Here is a 21,966-nt window from a genome sequence, read left to right as displayed (position 1 = left end):
ACTACTTTCTAGGGCTTGAAGGCCTGTGAGCGTATCTGAAGTTTCACATCCTAATCAATTCCTTCTTTTGTTCATTTACTCTGACCATCTCTGGGTAAGACCCACCGGAACCTGGCAAAAGCTAAATTTACCAGAAACTTATGAGATTACAGGTAAGAACATAAAGTAAGGACAATATATTTCAAAAACCATCATAGAATTCTAAGCAAAAATGGAAGAATACCAAAAGCCTCTTGATCTGTGACTTAGTTTGTAGCTAAACACACACACTCTTTGCCTAGCTCCTTCAATGCTTAACCCTGAGGTGTGGCCACGGCAAACCTCAGCCAGCGTATCATTTCAGAGTTCTTTCCCTGGGTTCCCAAGGGTTGGTTCTAGAATTGCCTGGAGTTGTAAAAGGGATGAGAGAATTTCTTTCTGACTCCACCCTATTACCACACTGTTTATGACCAAATGGCACCCCTGTCAAAGCTTTTGGGACACCCTTGCCCCAGGGCCAGTGCAAAAGAATGTTCAGTTTATTAAGAACAGTGCCCTGTCTTGAGGGAAAACAGGATGTTTAGAAAGTTTTGTACTTAATCTTCGACTCTCTCTTCAGCCAACTATGACTCGCTACAGGGAAAATTGTACAGCAGTGTCAATAAATAAAACCATAGGCTTCTATGATGAATCGTCAAGTTCTGCTGTGGACAAGGCAATATCTGATGGGCCAAAAGGTGGGAAAAGATCTAGAAAGGTCCATAGCTTTCCCTGGAGCTCTCAAAGATAACAGACACTTTTGTAGGTCAGAGTCTCCAAAGAGGGTTGGAATCAATCTGCTAAATGCATCAAAACAGAGCCAAGTGGGAAAGTCCAGTCCTGACCTCCCTGGCACAGGCACCCACTGGCATTTTATCACTTTGCTTGCAGCCAACAAAATCAATCAGCAAGACTATTACAATGAAACACACAGGATATGGAGAGAAACACATACTACAACATGTGTTCTTCAAAAGACAAGAAAGGCATCCAAAAAGGAGTTGATTTCAGCTTCAAGCAAGTCGCTATTTATGCATTTCTTATTCTGATTGTATTGGCATTCAGGACCATTTTCTTGCATTTGATATTTGGTCCCTCTTATAATTCTTATTATCATAACCAAAACTACTTTAAAACAAGTGCGCACATCCTTTGTTCTTAAACTAACTTCGATATACATTGTCATCGGCTGGGTAATAAAAAAAAATCCTGATCCCTGGGTTCCACCCCTGAGATATAGAATTAGTTACATGGATTTGGCCCGGGTAGTTGAATTTTCAAAAGCTATCCAGTGGAGTCTAATGTCCAGAAAAACTTTAGAACTACTGCTCTGAGCTGAACCCTGGCTGGCAATTAGGCTCAGAGGTATGGGAACTCTGCCTTAACCTGCCAAATACAAGCACCATTATGGCGTGGCTAACAGTCATCAGAAGTATTTGCCATTCTGGTATCAAATTAATTTTAAAGGCAGAGGGGCAAGGGATGAGAAGGAACAATGATGCTTTTGTGGGGGTAAGACAAGTCTTCAACGCTACAAAACTCCTTAGCATATTATAGAAACCAGTTTTGCTGGTTTTTTATTATATGACAAAGGGAAGCACTGACCCAGTGGCAAGATTCTGGATGTAAGGTGTTCTAGTCCAAAGCACTAGCGGTCCTAGTGAGGTATCTTTGTGACTCCTGGAAAAAACTCAGAAAAGTTTCCTACTCTAAGAATACCACCTTTAAAGAACAGATATTATCACTTCCTGCTGTGAGTCTACATTTTTACATGTCAAGAAGATTAGGACCAAACCCATCCGCCCACAAGGCAGTGCTATAGGGTTGTAAACTGCCATTATGAAATTAAATATTACCTCTAAGGTCATGGGTCTCAATCTTGAGCATGCTCAGAAACACCTGAGAGGCTTGTTGAATTCAGATTGTTGGGCTTGTCCACACAGGGTCTCTGATTCTGTAGCTCAAGGATAGCAGTTTGCATTTCTGACAATTCTCAGCTGATGTTGAGACTGCTGGTCTGGGGAAGACCACACTTTGATAACTCCTGTTCTTAGGGCTCATAAAAGGCATGGTCCTTGAGTAACAAGAAATGTTTCTTCAGGCTTTGTGATAAAGAGACAAATACTTTGAGTGAAAGGAGACAGGGTCTTAAGATAAATCTTGAGAATTGTGCCAAGAGGCAAAATGTTAACATTCCACTAGGGAGAAACAAGCAGGTGGGTTGTTAACCTCATTCATTCACTCTGGAGTAAATATTATCCTTGGAGGACAAAGTGGAAGAGCTGTCTTGAGTTAAAAAGAGAACTGAAACATTCTTTCCAAAAAATGGTGACCCACAGTTTCTTGTTTTACAAGGGAATAGTGGGCATTTTTCATTTACAAAATATTTACTTTATAATGGTGGCACTTCAGTGGGAGGAAAGGTGGGCATTTTGACTAAGTGGTTAGGGAAATTGGGTAGCCATCTACAAAAAATAAAGTTGAGTCAGGCACGACTGCTCCTGCCTATAATCTCAGCACTTTGGGAGGCGGAGGTAGGATCGCCCGAGCCCAGGAGTTAGAGACCAGCCTGGACAATGTAGCGAGACCTCGTCTCCACAAATAATAAAATTTGCCAGGCATGGTGGTGTGCACCTGTGGTCCCAGCTACTCAGGAGGCTGAGGCAAGAGAATCACCTGAGCACAGGAGGTCGAGGCTGCAGTGAGCCGTCACTGCACCACTGCACTCCAGTCTGGGCAACAGAGTGAGAGCCTATTTCCAAAACAAAAACAAAAACAAAAACAAAAAACTTGAATCCATACTTAACAGAATATCAGGATAAACCTCAAATGGAGCAAATATTTAAATGTAAAAAAAGTAATAGCATAGAAATTCTGCAAGAAAATATGGGTCAATTCTTGTGCGTGTATGTGTGGAAGGGGTTGGTGGAAATGCTTTCTGTGACTCGAAATCCAGAAGCCATAAAAGAAAGAATGGAAAATTCTGTATAAGACCAAAAAAACCCCACAAATACTAAAGGAAATGATAAACCAAGAAAAATTTGAAGATCATATCACAGACTTAGAGCTAATCTCCCTATTATATAAAGAGCCCTTACAAATCAACAAGAAAAAGAGCAAGAATCCAACAGAAGAGTAAATCACGTACAGGAATTAAGTACAGTTTGCAAAACAAACAAACAAACAAACAAACAAACAAAAAGAAAGAAACAAGAAAAACAAATGGCTTCTTTTTTTTTGAGATGGAGTCTCACTCTGTCACCAGGCTGGAGTACAGTGGTGCGATCTCGGCTCACTGCAACCTCTGCCACCCGGGTTCAAACGATTCTCCTGCCTCAGCTTCCTGAGCAGCTGGGACTACAGGTGTGTGCCACCATGCCCAGCTAATTTTTTTGTATTTTCAGTAGAGACGGGGTTTCACCATGTTGGTTGGCCAGGATGGTCTGGATCTCCTGACCTCGTGATCCACCCTCCTCAGCCTCCCAAAGTGCTGGGATTACAGGTGTGAGCCACCGCACCTGGCCAACAAATGGCCTTTAAACATCTTGAAAAGATGTCCAGGCTTTTGCTTTTTTAAAAAAGGTATGCAAATCTAAACCATATCAATAAAGTATATTTTACAAATGAGATTGGCAAAAATCCAAAAGTTTGATAACCCACTCTATTGGTGCAGCCCTAATTAAGTTGACAGGAGTGCAAAAATCAAACAGTACTTAGGGTGATCGCTTCAGCAGCACATATATGAAAATTGGAAAAATACAGAGAAAATTAGCATGGCCTCTGTGCAAGGAAGGGGCATATTTGTGAAGCATTCCATTTAAAAAAACAAAAATAGTCCACTGAAAGGGCAAGCGACAGGAACTATAAAATCCAAAAGAAATGGATAAATTCCTGGACACATACACCCTCCCAAGAGTGAACCAGAAAGAAACAGAATCCCTGAAGAGACCAATAATGAACTCTGAAATTGAATCAGCAATAAATAGCCTACCAACCAAGAAAAGCCCAGGACCAGACAGATTTACAGCCAAATCCAAATTCTACCAGACGTACAAAGAGCTGGTACCATTCCCACTGTAACTAGTCCAAAAAATTGAGGAGGAGGGATTCTTCCCCAACTCATTCTATGAGGCTAGCATCCTCCTTATACCGAAACCTGGCAGAGACACAATGAAAAAATAAGGCCAATATCCTTGATGAACATCTATGCAAAAATCCTCAATAAAATACTGGCAAAACAAACCCACTAGCACATCAAAAAGCTTACCCATCATGATCAAGTAGGCTTTATCCCTGGGATGCAAGGTTGGTTCAACACAGGCAAAGCAATAAATGTGATTCATCACATAAACAACTAAAGACAAAAAACACATGATTATCTCAATAGATGCTGAAAAGGCTTTCAATAAAATTCAACACTGCTTCATGTTAAAAATTCTCAGTAAACTACATATTGAATGAACATACCTCAAAATATTAAGAGCCATCGATGACAAATCCACAGCCAACATAATACTGAATGGGCAAAAGCTGGAAGCATTCCCCTTGAAAACTGGCAAAAGACAAGGATGCCCTCTCTCACCACTCCTATTCAACATAATATTGGAAGCCCTGGCCAGAGCAATCAGTCAAGAGAAAGAAATAAAGTGCCTCCAAATAAAAAGAGAGGAAGTCAAACTACCCTCTGTTTGCAGACAACATGATTCTATATCTAGAAAACCCCATAGTCTCAGCCCAAAAGCTCCTTAAGCTGATACATAAATTCAGCGAAGTCTCAGGATACAAAAGCAACATACAAAAACCACTAGCATTCCCATATACCAACAGTTAAGCCAAGAGCCAAATCAGAAACATAATCCCATTCACAACTGCCACAAAAAGAATAAAACACCTAGGAATACACTAGAAAGATCTCTACAACAAGAATTAAAAACACTCTTCAAAGAAATCAGAGATGACACAAACAAATGGGAAAACATAAGCAATTTACACATTCAATGTTATTCCTATCAAACTACCAACAACATTCTTCACAGAACTAGAAAAAACTATTTTAAAATTCATATGGAACCAAAAAAGAGCCTGAATAGCAAAGGCAATCCTAAGCAAAAAGAACAAAGCTGGAGGCATTACACTACTTGACTTCAAACTATACTATAGGGCCACAGTAACCAAAACAGCATGGTACTGGTACAAAAACAGACACATAGACCAATGGGACAGAATGAGAGCCCAGAAGTAAGGCCGCACACCTACAACCATATGATCTTCGACAAACCTGACAAAAATTAAGCAACGGGTAAAGAACTACTTATTCAATAAATGGTGCTGGGATAACTGGCTAGCCATATGCAGAAGATTGAAAGTGGACTCTTTCGTTATACCATATATAAAAATCAACTGAAGATGGATTAAAGGTAAGTGTAAAATCCAAAACTTTTATAAAAACCCGGGAAGACAACCAAGGCAATACCATTCTGAAAACAGGAACGGGCAAAGATTTCATGACGAAGACACCAAAAGCAATTGGAACAAAAGCAAAAATTGACAAATGGGATCTAATTAAACTAAAGAGCTTCTGCACAGCAAAAGAAACTCTCAACAGAGTAAACAGACAACATATAGAATGGGAGAAAATTTTTGCAAACTATGCATCTGACAAAGGTCTAATATCCAGCATCGGTAAGAAACTTAAACAAATTTACAAGAAAAAAACAAACAGCCCCATTAAAACGTGGGCAAAGGACATGAGCAGACACTTTTCAAAAGACACACATGTGATGCAGCCAATAAGCATATGAAAAAAAGCTCAATGTCACTGATCATTAGAAAAATGCAAATCAAAACCACAATGAGATACCATCTCACACCAGACAGAATGTCTATTATTAAACAATCAAAAAACAATAGATGCTGGTGAGGTTGCCAAAAAAAAGGCTTATACATTGTTGGTGGAAGTATAAATTAGTTCAACCATTATGGAAAGCAGTGTGGCGATTTCTCAAGGACCAAAAAAACTACCAGAAATACCATTCAACCCAGCATTCCCATTTCTGGGTATATACTCAAAGGAATATAAATTGTTCTGTTATGAAGACTCATGCATACCGTATGTTCACTGCAGCACTATTCACAATAGCAAAGACATGGAATCAACCTAAATGCTCACCAATGATAGACCGGATAATGAAAATGTGGTACATATATACCTCGGAATACTATGCAGCCATAAAAATAATGAGACTGTGTTCTTTGCAGGGACATGGATGGAGCTGGAGGCCATTATCCTTAGCAAACTAACACAGGAACGGAAAACCATATACTGCATGTTCTCACTTATAAGTGGGAGCTAAATTATAAGAACATATGGACACATAAAGGGGAACAGACAGTGGGGCCTACCAGAGAAGGTGGAGAGTGGGAGGAGGGAGAGGATCAGGAAAAATAACTAATGGGTACTAGGCTTAATACCTGTGTGATGAAATAATCTGTACAACAAACCTTCATGACACGAGTTTCCCTATATAACAAACCTGCAGATGTACCCCTAAACTTAAAATAAAAGTTAAAAAAAGGAGGGGCTAGCCACACGATCACAAATACATATGCACATATCTGCTGGCCCAAATCCTGATCCCCTTATAGGAAATTACCCTACAGATATACCTGCACATGTATGAAGTGATATACAAGGTTATTCACTGCAACTTCATAATAGCAGAAGATTGAAAGAGTGTCTGAAAAGCTTATTAAGGTATATGATTCCATGTAAAAACAAGGTGCAGAATAGCATCTAGTTGTCACCTTTTCTAAGAAGGAAAATAAAAGTATTTAAAAATTTAAAGATTTGCATAAACAGTGGAAGAATTTTCGAGAACCTAATGGATATGGTGAACTATAAAAGGCGTAGTAGGCAGGCAGAGTAGATGGGAAGAGGCTGCACAGCAAGATTTTCAAATTGTATCTTCTTATAAAAGTTTCTTTGTAATAGTTATTGAAATCAAATTATGGAGCTATATAAAAAATCAGAAAACTTCAGTGTACATGGACATTTTTTTCTTTACATGTACATTTTCAGTACAACCCTAAGCCAAAAAAGGAAAGTACGTAGTAAATACGAGTCAAGCAATAGGGTTAGGTCAAAGTGACTGACTGCCAGGAGGCCAGAAATTGGATGGCAAAGTCCACTTTGCAGGCAAGGGATTTCCAGAACAGCATTTACTAAGGCAGGTCTCTGAAGATGAAAGAAGCCAGGCTTTTAGTTTTACTGGATCATTCAATTTCTATAAATACTCTCTTCCAATTAAGCCAATGAATTTACATTTCTTTGCAGCCCATGCTTTTAAGTAAAGCTCAGATGTTTGCCATAGAGTGTTTTCCACTATGTGGCACTCCCCTCACCCCCACCTTCAGCTTTGTTTCAATAAACAATCAACACAAGCACCTAATTATAGACTTCAGGAATATAAAATTCCTCAGATCAGACAAGAAATACAACATACTCTTCTCCCACGTCTCTAACCTGTCTTTTAACTAATTCAAAATCAGGCAACACCTTTAGATACTGTGTAAAATACACCACATGGAGTATACAAACAAGACATATTAACCAAGGTTTTTAAGTACCTCTATGTCTATCTGAAGAGATGCCAGTTTTTACATATTCCCTAAAAAAATCATATTTTACAAACATCTATTTTCTAACTGCTGTGTGTGTGTGTGTGTGTATACATATACATATTAAAGGCAAGCACATTTAACTTCCTCTGGGCACATGACAAGGCACCAGAGTTACATTTCTGATTATCTGTCATACAACACAGCAAGAAAACAAGTCAGCCAATTTCTCCTGTATGGACACTGGATACCAGGAATTTATAGGAAGATACACACCAGCAAGCAAGGCAACATGCTAGTCTGCAAGAGCACTCCTTGGAGAGCTGATTATTTCTCTGGAGAGGTTTCTAAGCTTTGCATTGAGAGCGCTCATAACAACCAAACCAAAAAGAGCCCACTACAATCTAGCTTTCACCATCCCTTGCTCAGTTTCTGAAATTACTACCTGTCATCTGCCTGGACAAGGAAAATGGGATTGGACAAGTAAAAAACCTTTCATATCAATCCCCAGGAATGAAACTGGAGTTTAATATCCTGCCTATTGTGTCAACAGGAAGTGGGGCAGAAAGGTTTAAGGACGATGTGATGGATTACCAATGTTCTAGTCCTTGATATGGCTCTAACCCACTGTGTGACCTTGGGCAAGTCACCTGCCCTCTCTGGGCCTCCACTTGCTCACCTTTAATATGAGGTAGTGGTACCTGAAGTCTCGCAAACATCTTTTCCAGCACACATGAACTGGAGCTCCTGGTTGCTTAATTCTGATGGCTTACTCTGTCACTAGAAAACCCAATTTACTGCCAAGAATAAATTATGGCAATGACTGTTGGTGATTGTTTACAATGAATGAATGTGTTGTAACACAACTCATGGACAAAATGACTTCACAGCCTATTCCCTTAGATTTTTGACTCCTGATTTTGTAGCAGTCTCTGCACCAGACGACATAATATAAAAATAAATTCTCTGCTTCATCTCGGCCCTTACCCCTTAGAGGCTAGATCAGTGCAAATCACTGTTTAAAAAAAAAAAAGATTGCTGAGAGTAGTGTAGTGTGGTGCACTGGTGAACTGCCCCCAAGACCTGCTCAAGTTTAGAGCTGCAAGCAGAAGAAGCAGTGGCTTGGGGTTAGGACTACATTCCTATGCTGAGGGGTGGGGGTGGGTTGTCTGAAAAGGCAAAATGGCAAGACTTACAGGCTCTGTTCTCTTTCTCTTTCTCTCTCTCTCTCTCTCATACACACACACACACATACACATCCCACTAATAACGTAGTACTGCTTAGCTCATTTGTCCCTTGGGCAAGAAAGTTCACAAGAAAGGCAGTGCCCTTCCCCCCAACATCTGTCCCAAGCTGCAGAACGCCCAGCACTGGCTGGTCATACTCTTCTTCAGTATGACACTAAACAGGACAAACGTGGACGTCCCTCCTTCCTCTGTGTTCAGAGGATCTACCTATTTTCCCTGACAAGATGCAAGCTAATATGTTAACCTAACTTATTACACTCTATCTTGATATTATCCAAGAAAGACAATTAAAAATTGATTATATTCTGGGTCTAAGGTGGCCACATTTCTTTATTAAGATGCAGTAAAACAGTGACATTGCATGAAGGTGCTTTTTGTTATTAAGACTTCTTTGCTTTTACTTTTAACTTTTTAGGTTCTCTTTAAATGTTGAACCATCCATCCCATCAAAAATACAGAGGGCCGGGCATGGTTGCTCACTCCTGTAATCCTGGCACTTTGAGAGGCCGATGCAGGCAGATCACTGGAGCCCAGGAGTTGAGACCAGCCTGGCCAACATGGTGAAACCCTGTCTCTACTAAAAATACAAAAATTAGCAGGTGTGGTAGCGCACACCTGTAGTAGTCCCAGCTACTCGGGAGGCTGAGGCAGGAGAATCGCTTGAACCTAGGAGGCAGAGGTTGCAGGGAGCCAAGATTGCACCACTGCACTCCAGCTCTAGTCCGGGTGACACAGCAAGACTCTGTCTCTAAATAAATAAATAACATGGGATGAATTGCAAATTTCACTTTCCATTTTCTGGTCCAGAAAGAGGCATTTTACATTGGGGTCAGCAATGATTCCAACCTTAAGTGCTACTTGTGGTATGATACAAAACAATGCCCTTATGTGCCGTGTAGGCACTCCTAATGCCTTTGAGGATAAATCCCTAAACTTCTGGTGAAATAGTTTCATGAAAACAACTATAGGTAATATGTACTGATGCTCTACTATAAGTCAGGCTGCTGTGCTAAATAATATCATTTCGTCTTTCCTGGACTTTTAAGTCAGATGAGAAACTTAACGTCAGCTAGAAAGTGGCCAAGCAGAGACTTCAACCCGTCTAATAACCAATTTGTAACTACAGCAGGTCCTTGAATAACATTTCATTCAATGTCATTTTGTTATAACATTAATGAGGAAAAAAAAAAGGATTCCTGGCCATGGCCACTATCGGTGGAGTTTCCACGTTTTCCCCACATCCGCGTGGGTTTTCTCTGGGTCCTCAGGGTTCCTCCCACACCCCAAAGCTGTGCACATGAGGCAAAGTGGCATGTCTACACTGTCCCAGTCTGAGTGACTCTGGCTGTGTACGAATGTGCTCTGTGATGGGATGGCATCCTGTCCAGGGCTGGTGCCCTGCCTTGCACCCTGAGCTGCTGGGACAGGCTCCATCCACCAGAAACCCCGAGCTGGAATAACTGATTAAATAATCATCTTACTTGTTTTTAAATTAATCTTTCTTAAATGTATGTATAGCTTACCTTTATTTCAGTGTTTAACATTGTACGTATTTTGGAAGGAACTTAAGTCTTATGTATATCAATTAGCCTATGGTCAAATTGCTTTCATGATATCTCATTCATTTAAAATTGCAATTTCCAAGAACCTATGGAGTGAAGACTTACTGTACTGGCTAAACTGCCCTTCAGAGTGATGACAAAACGAATTCCTCAGTTCTAAGAAGCTACTGATTACAAGATGTACCACTGTTTTATAAACAAATGTAGAGGGGGTATCAATGCTAAGATACGTATGTACAAATGAAAAAACGCATGTCTTAGAAAATGGAGAGGCCGGGCACGGTGGCTCACGAGGTCAGGAATTCGAGACCAGCCTGGCCAACATGGTGAAACCCCGTCTCTACTGAAACTACAAAAATTAGCTGGGCTTGGTGGCACGGGCCTGTAATCCCAGCTACTCGAGAGGCTGAGGCAGGAGAATCGCTTGAACCCGGGAGGCGGAGGTTGCAATGAGCTGAGATCGCGCCACTGTACTCCAGCCTGGGGGACAGAGTGAGACTGTCTCAAAAAAAAAAAAGGGAGAAAATATACACATTCTAATTTTCTCAATGCCTTGTCATCCTGGGAAGGAAGATGATGTTGGTAGTATTCTATTTTTAAGTACAAGGCGCTGCTGCCACTAGGGATTCTTACACAAAAAGACCAACTCACCATGACCCGCTCTCGACTCTCCAGCCCGACTGAGGAGGAACTTGACACTCAGGGTGTTATTGGTCCAAATGCTTAAACCATGGCCAGGCCAATGCAGTTCAGTTCAAAAGACATGTATTGAGCATCTATTATATGACAGGGACAGTGCAAGGCCTAGAGATAAACAGACAAAACGGCTGTCCCCAGCATGACTGCTGCCCTAGGAGAAGTTATCATCAGAAGCAAAGCCCAGAGGTCCACATCCCAGTCCTACCACACCCATTCATGACTCAGGGGGACTTCCCAAGACCTTTGGGTTGACATACAACATTTTCCAAGACCTAGCAACAAAATCTTGAATCGAGTAGTTATAAAAAATGTGTTTTCTGTTGTTGTTGTGTTTTTTTCGTCTGGTTTTTGACATAGCATTTCATTTCCAAGGATCTTGCTTCTGAGTGAGGATACAAAAGTTGTACAAAACAGCAACGAAAGGAGCCATGCTAATTTTCTTCATTTTCTTCTAGACACAGCAATAACAAGGCAGGCAGACACAATGGAATAAAGAGAAACAGACCCACGACTAGACTTTCTAAAAAAGACTAGTATTTCTTGAGGGCCCACGAGGGATCATATTAGATACTAGATGTTCTTATTTTCTGTAGGAATGAACTAAGAAGTAGACAAATCTTTCATTTGTCTAAGGTATCAACTGTAGCTGCACTTAAAAATGGAATTCAAAGATTTGAATGAAGTTTATTTCATAAAGACCGAACTTGTTGCGAATCATGAGTAGCTAATATTAAAAATCTCATTGCCTAAAAACACCATAACATATAATAAATAGGGGTATGTACCTACAACTTACAATATACCATGGGGACACTAACATATAAAAACCTTACAATCTAGCTGGGAAGAGCATTCTATTATTTTATATTTATTTTTCAAGACTAGGTCTCGCTCTGCTGCCCAGGCTAGAGTGTAGAGGCACAAACACAGCTAACTGCAGCCTCTGCCTCCTGGGCTCAGCCTTCCAAGTAGCTGGGAACATGGGCGCACACCACCATGCCTGACTAATTTTTTTTTGTAGAGACCTGGTTTCACTATGTTGCCCAGACTGGTCTTGAACTCCTGGGCTTCAGTAATCCTCCCACCTCGGCCTCTCAAGGTGCTGGGATTACAGGAGTGAGACACTGAGCCCAGCCTCTGTCATTTTAAAAGCTAAAAAGTATGAAAGTACTTGATATGAAATTAAGGTAAAATAAATAAAATGCAATAGTTAACTTTTAATTTGACGGAAGACATGCAGTACAGACACACACAATTAACTCTCAAATAATTTTTCTTTTGTTTAGACTAAATAAATGTTAGGGCCATCACAAAGCACTCACCTTGAAAGGGGTGAAGATAAATTGGGGGGCAGAATGGGAATACCAGCTTAAAAAAACAAAGATAGACTTTCTTACCTCTAGCATTGCTCTTTTCAGAGATGGGTTCTCGCTCTCCCGAGTAACTAAGACTACAGGCGTGCACCACCATGCCCTGTTAAATTTTTTTGAAGAGATAGGGGTCTGGCTATGTTGCCCAGGCTGATCTCGAACTCCTGGGCTCAACCAATCAGCCCACCTCAGCTTCCCAAAGCACTGGGATTATGGGTATGAGCCACTGCATCTGGCCTGTCAAATAATTTCTATAAGGCAATAATGCTACCAGAATTCACATAGGCTGAGACAGTATCTGAAGCACTACAGGTTACAAAAAAATGTTATTAATAATCCCAAACTGGGGATTTCAGGTCAAGAAACTGTGTCTTTTGTAAATAGGAAGGCACAGGGAAGTTAGATGTTGGAATGCAGAATCACTATATGCAGACTATTCCCACAGAACAATTCCATGAAGAGACAAAGAATGGAGCCAAGAGGGGCAGCCGTGGACTTTGAGAAGGGCTGGTCCACAGACACGAAGACAGGACCCCTGCATCCCTCTTGTCCCTGCTATTGCCACTGTACCCCACAGCAATTCTTGAGCAGACCCAGCTTTCTGTGTTGACAGACAGGTTTGTTTCCTCATCTGCCAAAAGAAGATGGTGGTGCCCATGAGCCACCTGCGTTACACAAATGTTTCAAAGGTTAAATTTAAAAAATAGATTTGAGATTTTTTTTTTTTTGAGACAGTTTGCTCTTGTCGCCCAGGCTGGAGTGCAATGGCGCAATCTTGGCTCACTGCAACCTCTGCCTCCTAGGTTCAAGTGATTCTCCTGCCTCAGTCTCCTGCACAGCTGGGATTACAGGTGCCTGCCACCATGCCCGGCCAATTTTTCTATTTTTAGTAGAGACGGGGTTTCACCATGTTTTCCAGGCTGATCTCCAACTCCTGACCTCAGGTGATCCAATCTGCCTCGGCCTCCCAAAGTGCTGGGATTACAGGCATGAGCCACCTCACCCGGCCTGAGATATGTTTAAACATGATTATTGGAGAAACTTAACTGTCCTCTAAATGCTTTGTCTATACTGTTCAATGAAAAGAATTGTGTCCAGATATAAATATACACACAACATATCAAATTGAGGGTGTTAAAAGTACTTCAAATAATTCTAAATTTTGCTTTGTTTCTTGTAACTACGTAAGGATAAAAATGCACGAAACACCGCATGTTGTGGAAACCTGCATCATTCTCAACTTTGCTTTCAGGAATAAAAAGCACAGAAGTTACTGAGATAATTGGTGAAATAATATCTGACATGTGAGGAGCCTCTCCTTTGGGTAAGCAGCACAAGATAAATTTTTCATTTAGATGAAGCCACAGCTATTAAGAAGACGGTTACCAGGAGAATGAAAAGACTCAAAGGCAGATTGTTTCTGGAGGAGGCAGGGCGAGCATACTTCGCTGTGTTGGCTCACCTTCACACTAAAGAATACAGTTGCACAGCCCCTGACTCCCTCAGCCAGAGAAAGCACCTCATAAACAGGCTGGCATGCATGTCCAACCAGGTCAGTAGCAAAACAAATATGCTCCTTTCTCTAGCCAAAGCCAACACCAAAGGGGCAGGCAGACTCGGCAAACAGCAAAAGGAGACCCAGTGATGAATGAGGATGAGGCCTGTTGAGCAAACTGCTGGTTAGCAAAAAAAAAAAAAGGTTGGGTGACATGCGGATGGGTCAAAGAAAGGATCCGCGTCAATCCCCTAGTGCATGGCTAGTAGGATTGTAAGATGGGGCACCCGCTGTGGAAAACAGTTTGATAGTTCCTCAAAAAGTTAAACATATGGCCGGAAGCGGTGGCTCATGCCTATAATCCCAGCACGTTGGGAGGCCAAGGTGGGTGGATGGCTTGAGGTAAGGAGTTCGAGACCAGCCTGGCCAACACAGTGAAACGCTGTCTGTACTAAAAAAAAAAAAAAAAAAAAAATTACCCACGCGTGATCTCAGCTACTTAGGAGGTTGAGGCAGAAGAATCGCTTGAACCCAGGAGGTGGAGGTTGTAGTGAGCCAAGGTCATGCCACTACACTCCAGCCTGGGCAACAGAGCAAGATTCCATCTCAAAAAAACAAAAACAAAAACACAAGCTAAACACAGAATTACCATATGACCAGCAATTCTACTTCTGGATATATACCCAAAGGAATTTTAAAAGGGGACTCAAACAGAAGATACTCTCATACATCCATGTTCATTGCATCATTATTCACGATAGCCAAGAGAAGAAAACAACTCAAATGTCCATTGATGAATGAAAAGATAAACAAAATGGGGCCTTATACATACCATGGAATATTATTCAGAGATAAAAAGAATGAGATTCTGATACATGCTACAATATGAATGAAACTTAAAGACATTGTGCTAAGTGAAATAAGGCAGATACAGAAGGGTAAATATTTTATGATTCCACTTATATGAGGTATCTAGAGTGGTCAAGTTCATACAGACAGAAAGTAGAATAGAGCTTACCAGGGACTAGAGGGATGGGAGGGGAGTTATTGTTCAATGGTAGATTTTCTGTTAGAGACGGTGAAAAAAATCTGGACATGGATGATGCTTGCATAACATTGTAAATGTAGCCAATGCTACTGAATCATACACCTAAAAATGGTTAAAATAGTAAACTGTGTGTTTCGGATGCCCTCACCCCTTGTCTGCCACACTGGATTTTGGGCCTCCCCTTATCTGCCACACTGGATTTTGGGGCTTCCCACCCCTACCCCTGACCCTTTTCACTGGATTTTGGGGTCTTCCCACCCCTACTCCTGACCCTTTTCCCTCTCCTTGATCATCTGTTCATTTCTCCATTCAAGATGCCCACCAAATTTACTTCTGGCAGAAGTAGGCTCAAATAAATCTGGAAACCAGAGTTACAGCAGGAGGCTTATGATCCTTGGTCCTGATATTCCACTGCTAGCTCCAGCATGTGACCTCTCCTTCCAAAGGAAAATAAGTCATTTTTTAATGAGCTTTTACAGAGATGGTAACTATCAACACTTCAGATCATTATGGAAAGAAAACTTCAGTTTCTCTAGTGGGTTGCAGAGAGCGGACCAAATCCTAAGTCAGAAAAACAGCCTTTTTTCTACTGGTATCATTGACTTCCTACCAAAAAGCCTGAGAGACAGAGAAGGAGCCAAGACTCCCATGTACAGAATCGTGAATCATTCACTCTAAATACTCGGGAGCCAAGTTTTCCTCTCTCTTTCTTTGGACCAATGAATACATATATCTGCAGTGAGAACTGCCTTAGCTGGAAGTAGGCTGGGGCTAAAGTTAAAAGTCACTGCAACCATTTGTTCCTTTGGAACATTCTGGAAGAGTGTTTAAGACGATGTGGACATTACTAAATTATTTTAATTTTTTTGGATAACTATAGTTATGATTTCTTTGGAAGTCATGTACCTGTGGCAAAATATGCCTTGGTTAAGTATTTGTGGAATGAAGAATATAAGAAAAACAACTCCCTTAAATAAGAGTTCAAAATATGTTATGAAACCAACTTTTCCACAACATGGCAAATCCTTGATATGTAGTAAGTGGAGTGCAAGAAAGTATGACAAAGGGGGCCAGATAGCACGTAATGTTTGATAAGGGGGTTTCACTGCAAGAGATGAGGAAGTCCTGGCAGGGCACCCTGGCTGGGTTGTGGCGCCATTGCTTTCTCCATCGAAGTCTATAATCAAAACTCAAACCTACAGAAAGAAAGAGACCAATATTGGTCATAAATGTACGTATTTCCATTGTATACACTTAAATGGGATGAGGACTGTCAGGTAAATGAAGTATGAATTCTCTTTTTTCTTAAGAAAAAATTGGAGGAGGGCCAGGTACAGTGGCTCATGCTTGTAACCCCAATGTTCTGGGAGGCCGAGGCAGGAGGATTGAGCCCAGGAGTTTGACACCAGCCTGGGCAACATAGTGAGACCCCTCTCTACAAAGAAATTTAAAAAATTAGCCAGGCTTTGGTGGCATGCACCTAGTCCTAGTTACTCAGGAGGCTGAGGTGGGAGGATCACTTGAACTCAAGAGTTTGAGACTGCAGTGAGCTATGATCACGCCACTGTATGCAAGCCTGGGTGACAGAGACCCTGTCTCTTTAAAAAAGAGAAAAGAAAAAATGGGAGGAAAATGATGGTTGCAGAGGGACATGTCACTGCACTTGTAATCAGTGGAAAGACTTACAGTATTAAAATCAGATCTAATGGAGAAATGGCAAATACATTAATAAATAAAATAAAGAAACAAACAAAACGTCTCAGTAAGCCTCCTCCTCCTCCCTAAAGAGCAGCTCGCTTCAGCAGCCCATGCTAAAGCGTTGCTTTACATTCTGGAACTCAGTTCAAAATGTGAGTAATTTTGCATTCTGTTTCACATTGACAAAGTTGTTCTTTCCTGCTACTTATTTATAATTTAATTCCCTCGATGGTTCTAAAATCAAGAGAAAAAATGTTTTCAAACAAAAATCATTATTTATACAGCTGGAGTTTCCATTTAGTTAGGAAAATTAGTAGAAAAATGTTTGGTCAGAATTTGAGATAAGTTTTGAATGTTTCGGAAAACCTTATACCATCAACTTCTAAATCTCTTTTATAATATTTATGTCTTCCCCAAAGTCAACAAGGAACCCCCCAAATCAACTAAATTAATGGGTTCTAATCTGGGCAACTCCTTTGGCAAAGGGTGGGGGAATCTCTGAATCAGCAACAAAAATAGCTCAATTAAAATACCATTCTAACATGCAGTTAGTTTTTGTTTGAAAATGGAAACCAGCAACTTGCTTGCATGAGTAAACAGAAGACAATTACTCCGGCTGGGGTCTCCAGAGCAGAAAGCACGGGAGACAGCTGGCAATTATCTGGCTAACTTAACCAGATAATTCATGCCTAAAAATCCACTCTGGTGCCCAAATTGCCCAGATTGGTTATATTCACAGAAGAACTAAAGAGTGTAATTACCAGATTCCCTTCCAATCTGTGCAGCCAAAGCTGTGCTTAGGTGGTTTGTTTTAAGGTGGTGATTGTACTGTCCTCAGTGCTTCATCTCTAGCAAGGAATGAGCTAGGATTTTCACAATAGAAATTTGAACATCTGTTTAAATATCCTATGGTCTTACATAGGATGCAGCTTTCATATACCAAATGCAGTACTAAAAATTTCAAATATGCCGAGACACTGACAAACTGCACCGGAGATAATGCTTTAAGTTTATACACCTTGAGGCAAAGCCCAGTTGAAGAGAGATATTGTAACTCCTAACAGAAAAAAATCTGATGGGGAAAACATAGAGTTAAAAATAGAGAAAGAGAATGTGTAAGATTATGCAAATTAGAGTATCCAAAATTTGAAACAAGTATGTCTTTTTAGCCTGTCACCAAAGACAGGAGATTAACACCCTTATGTTTATATAGCACTTTATATTTTTACAAAGCCCATTACAATGAATCCTCACGACTGTGTAAGGTAAATTGGGTGAGTATTATTATTCCCATTTCATGGATTAAGAAAATAGGGTCCTCAGATTTGCAGAAGCAAAGCTAATTCAAATCTGAAACTTGAACCCAAGTCTTCTAGATCACAAGTTTGGTGCCCTTTCCATCACACTGTGCTAAAGGCTAAAGTTAACTTAAAGCAAATAACAAATATCACATTACCCAGTCAAATCTGTGGTATTCGCCATCACAAATAGTCTTAGAGTTACACGTGTCATTAAATAAATCTTATTACCAAGCGCCGCTGGAGAGCACAGACTTTATGGGAAGGTGGTAGCCACGAAGGCTGCTCTCCATCAGTTCTGCCAGACCCTGGGCAGGGCATTTCTCTTGGACTCTGCTTCCTAACCAGTTAAAGGAAAGAATAGATTAGAGAATCTCTCAAGTCCCTTCACATCAAGCTGATGATCAACCTAAAAGGGTTCAGTTTCTCCCGTTCCCGTGAACTCAGAATGACAAGTGTCCGTTTTCTTCATCCTCTGGATATTACAAACTTCTCTAAACCAGTGGCTCTGTGCTCTCCTTAACAAAAATAGGGTTCTAAAATGCATTTTACCAACTTTGGCCTAACTTAAGCAGGAAAACAATATAAACACTACATTTTTAGAATTATTATAATATTCACTACATTTTAATATAACACTACATTTTTAGAAAAAAAATTTTTTTGAAAAAAAAAAGACAATTCTTTAATGTATGATCTTGAATTTTCTATATTCATGAATTTTCTATAGGTTACTATGCTGCTCAGTTCCATTTCCAAACTTGATTGGCACCCGCCAATTTTGATGCTCTTCAGATGGATAAAGGGTATTGGAAACCAGAATAATAGCCTTGCCCCGGATCAAGAAACAAAAACTACTTCTTTTAAATTGATGCCATTTCAAAAGCTATCAAATTTTGCTCAAATTACCAATCATCACCTGTAGTTGGCAATGACTGCTTTGAAGTTTCTTATAAGCTAGGTCCAACCAAGGGACTTCTATTTCTCAGTAGTACACTCCACCTGGGAATAATGACTTTAAATTTTTAAGAGACTGAGTCTTACTCTGCGCCCAAGCTGGAGTGCAGCAGCACAATCACAGCTTACTGCAACCACTGCAGCCTTGAACTCCTGGGCTCAAGGGATCCTCATACTTCAGCCTCCCAAATAGCTGGGATTACAGGTACATGCCACCACACCTGGCTAATTTTTAACATTCTCGTGGAGATGGGGTCTCACTGTGCTGCCCAGGCTGGTTTCAAACTCCTGGCTTCAGGTGATCCTCCCACCTCAGCCTCCCACAGCACTGGGATTACAGGTATGAGCCTCTGCACCTGGCCTGATGTTTTAAAAAGTATGAAAGATGTTCCCCACTCTCTAAATGGAATTAACCATTATGCTTTAGTAGAAGTCCATATTAGAACCTTATTGGAATTCAAGGGCTTAAATCCCAGGCAGCGTGTTCTCATTGCCTTTATGCTTTCCTAGTCCTGCTTGGTCATTTAAGAGAGGAGGGGAAAAGGACTGCTAACGTGGGAAAGCATCTAACATAGAGAGACAGAGGAAGAACGTCTAGAACAAGCTTGTCCAACCTCCGGCCCACGGGCCGCATGTGGCCCAAGACAGCTTTGAATGCATCCCAACAGAAATTCACGAAGTTTCTTAAAACGTTACAAAATTTTTCTCTCTCTCTCTCTCTGTGTGTGTGTGTGTGTGTGTGTGTGTTTCCTAGCTCATCAGCTATTGTTAGTGTTAGTGTATTTTATGTGTGGCCCAAGAAGTCTTCTTCCAACGTGGCCCAGGGAAGCCAAAAGATTGGACACCCCGATCTAGAATCTTGATTTTACCAGAAATGTGCTAAAGTCAAACATTCCTCTATCGTAAAGACAATTCTTTAGACCAGGCATGGTGGCTCACGCCTATAGTCCCAGCACTTTGGGAGGCCGAGGCAGGTGGATCACCTGAGGTCAGGAGTTTGAGACCAACCTGGCCAACATGGTGAAACCTCATCCCTACTGAAAATACAAAAATTAGCTGGGCGTGGTGGTACATGCCTGTAATTCCAGCTACTCGGGAGGCTGAGGCAGAAGAATTGCTTGAATCCAGGAGGCGGAGGTTGCAGTGAGCTGAGATCACACCACTGCACTCCAGCCTGGGCAACAGAGAGAGACTCTGTCTTGGAAAAAAAAAAAAAAAAAAAAAAGGACAATTCTTTAATGTATGATCTTAGCCTGGAAAAGTTCTCTTTCTTCCAGGGAAGGTTGATAGGGACAAGAAAAGAAAGCAAGATAAGGGCTGTAATAATAGTAACAATAATGTTTATTGTTGTTATATAACAACAAAAGGAGCACCTTTTTCTTACCTCCAGAATCCCTTTAATTATGGTGTTCAGCAAGTCAATGAATTTACTTTATTTATTTATTTTTTTGAGACGGAGTCTCCCTCTGTCGCCAGGCTGGAGTGCAGTGGCACAATCTCGGCTCACTGCAACCTCCACCTCCCGAATTCAAGCAATTCTCCTGCCTCAGCCTCCCAAGTAGCTGGGACTACAGGCGTGCGCCACCACACCCAGCTAATGTTTGTATTTTTAGTAAAGACAGGGTTTCACCATGTTGGCCAGGATGGTCTCGATCTCTTGACCTTGTGATCCACCTGCCTTGGCCTCCCAAAGTGCTGGGATTACAGGTGTGAGCCACTGTGCCCGGCCAAGTCAATGAGTTTTAATAATGCTTATTTTTCCCTATCTTTTGAAGTTAAAAAGTTGGCTTGCTAACCAGCTATAACTTTTAGTATGTTAAAGTGTTCTGGTCTCACTAGCAAATCAAAAAGGCCCAGCAATACGTCATTCTCCCATATATTCTGCATTGTCTATTAATTTTTTACATGACTTGGGGCACATCGGCCAGGTGCAGTGGCTCATGCCTGCAATCCCAGCACTTTGGGAGGCTGAGGAAGGAAGATTGCTTGAGCCCAGGAGTTGGAGACTTGGGGCATGTGATCACCAAACTTGAGTCTGAAGTGCTGACTGTAAAATGGATATACCACTAAACTACTTCAAAGAGCTGTTGCTGGAAAGAACAAATACAACTCACCATAAAATATTCTTAAATAATCCAGCAGGACCTCACTTGTCCAGGACCACACCCATTTACAGATGGGTGCTATGCAGAGCATCCACGGCTGACGCCAAATCTGTCGGCCCTGGCGCCATGTTCCTGTGCCCTTGTCTCCACTGCTGAGGCCTGCAGCCAGTCACCCTCTAGGCTCCCCACCCCTCTCCATCTGCCACGCTCTCATTTTATGCGTGTGCCTTTGTTCATTCTGATGAACAGAAGCCTGATTCTGCTTAGTACTGCCCATGGTGGGGTCTCCAGTGCTCATTCATACCAAGGATGACCACAGGCATTATAAAGCTTGCTGCAGTGAATGGGGATGTCAGGGCAAGGAAGGGATATTCAGCTACCTGGACCCCTTCTGGTCCTAAATGAAACAAAGAAGCAAAGCTGTACTATACAACAGTTAAACTTAATAAGGCACCTGAAGAGAAACCTGTGTTTCTCTCTATAGTTTATTCAGAAAGAGCAAGCAGAATATTTTTGGAAATAATGAAAAATCCACTGATACATTTAGAGCTTTCGGTGGGTCTAAGATTTAAGTGGCGTAGGAGAAAAGAAACTGAGATGTATTACTTGTACATTTTTCTTCTGACACCTTGATATTCCAGTTTAAACTACCTCGAATTATGCCACAAATCAGTGTCTTTAAGTCCACAGATTCTTAGGTCTTTGAGATCAATTCACCCCTAGTTATACAGATAGCAAACTGTTAAGAAACCAGTCTAAAGTTTTCTTGCTTCTTTGTGCTAAGTTCACCAGAATTCAAGCCTCTGACTTTTTTAACGATGGTGCTCCCTTTTCTTATACCACAACGTGGA

General features: G+C 41.1%; 1 protein-coding gene, 1 long non-coding RNA gene and 1 pseudogene across 9 annotated transcripts in view; 1 reads left to right on the top strand and 2 right to left on the bottom strand.

The window, feature by feature from the left end:
- Window positions 1-21,966, bottom strand: part of E2F3 (E2F transcription factor 3) — a 91,836-nt gene that overhangs the window by 37,505 nt on the left and 32,365 nt on the right. The window contains exon 1 of one of the 8 annotated variants that reach the window (XM_005248866.6): window positions 11,097-11,310. The exons of 6 other annotated variants lie outside the window; for them this stretch is intronic. In XM_005248866.6, coding sequence (XP_005248923.1) covers window positions 11,097-11,099 — 3 coding nt within the window. In that variant the 5' untranslated portion in view covers window positions 11,100-11,310. Of the gene's footprint in view, window positions 1-1,874; window positions 11,071-11,096; window positions 11,311-21,966 lie in introns of those variants that run through there. One more of the 8 variants, XM_011514328.4, reaches the window with a different exon arrangement.
- RNU6-141P (RNA, U6 small nuclear 141, pseudogene) lies at window positions 3,737-3,841 on the top strand (annotated as a pseudogene).
- Window positions 16,032-18,389, bottom strand: E2F3-IT1 (E2F3 intronic transcript 1). The gene is made up of 2 exons (NR_046776.1): window positions 18,212-18,389; window positions 16,032-16,253 (listed from the first exon to the last, which is right to left on the bottom strand). It is a non-coding gene; the product is annotated as an E2F3 intronic transcript 1 (long non-coding RNA).

Source organism: Homo sapiens, chromosome 6, assembly GCF_000001405.40.
Source record: "Homo sapiens chromosome 6, GRCh38.p14 Primary Assembly".
Classification (NCBI taxonomy): domain Eukaryota; kingdom Metazoa; phylum Chordata; class Mammalia; order Primates; family Hominidae; genus Homo; species Homo sapiens.
This window is presented reverse-complemented; position numbering and strand designations above follow the sequence as displayed.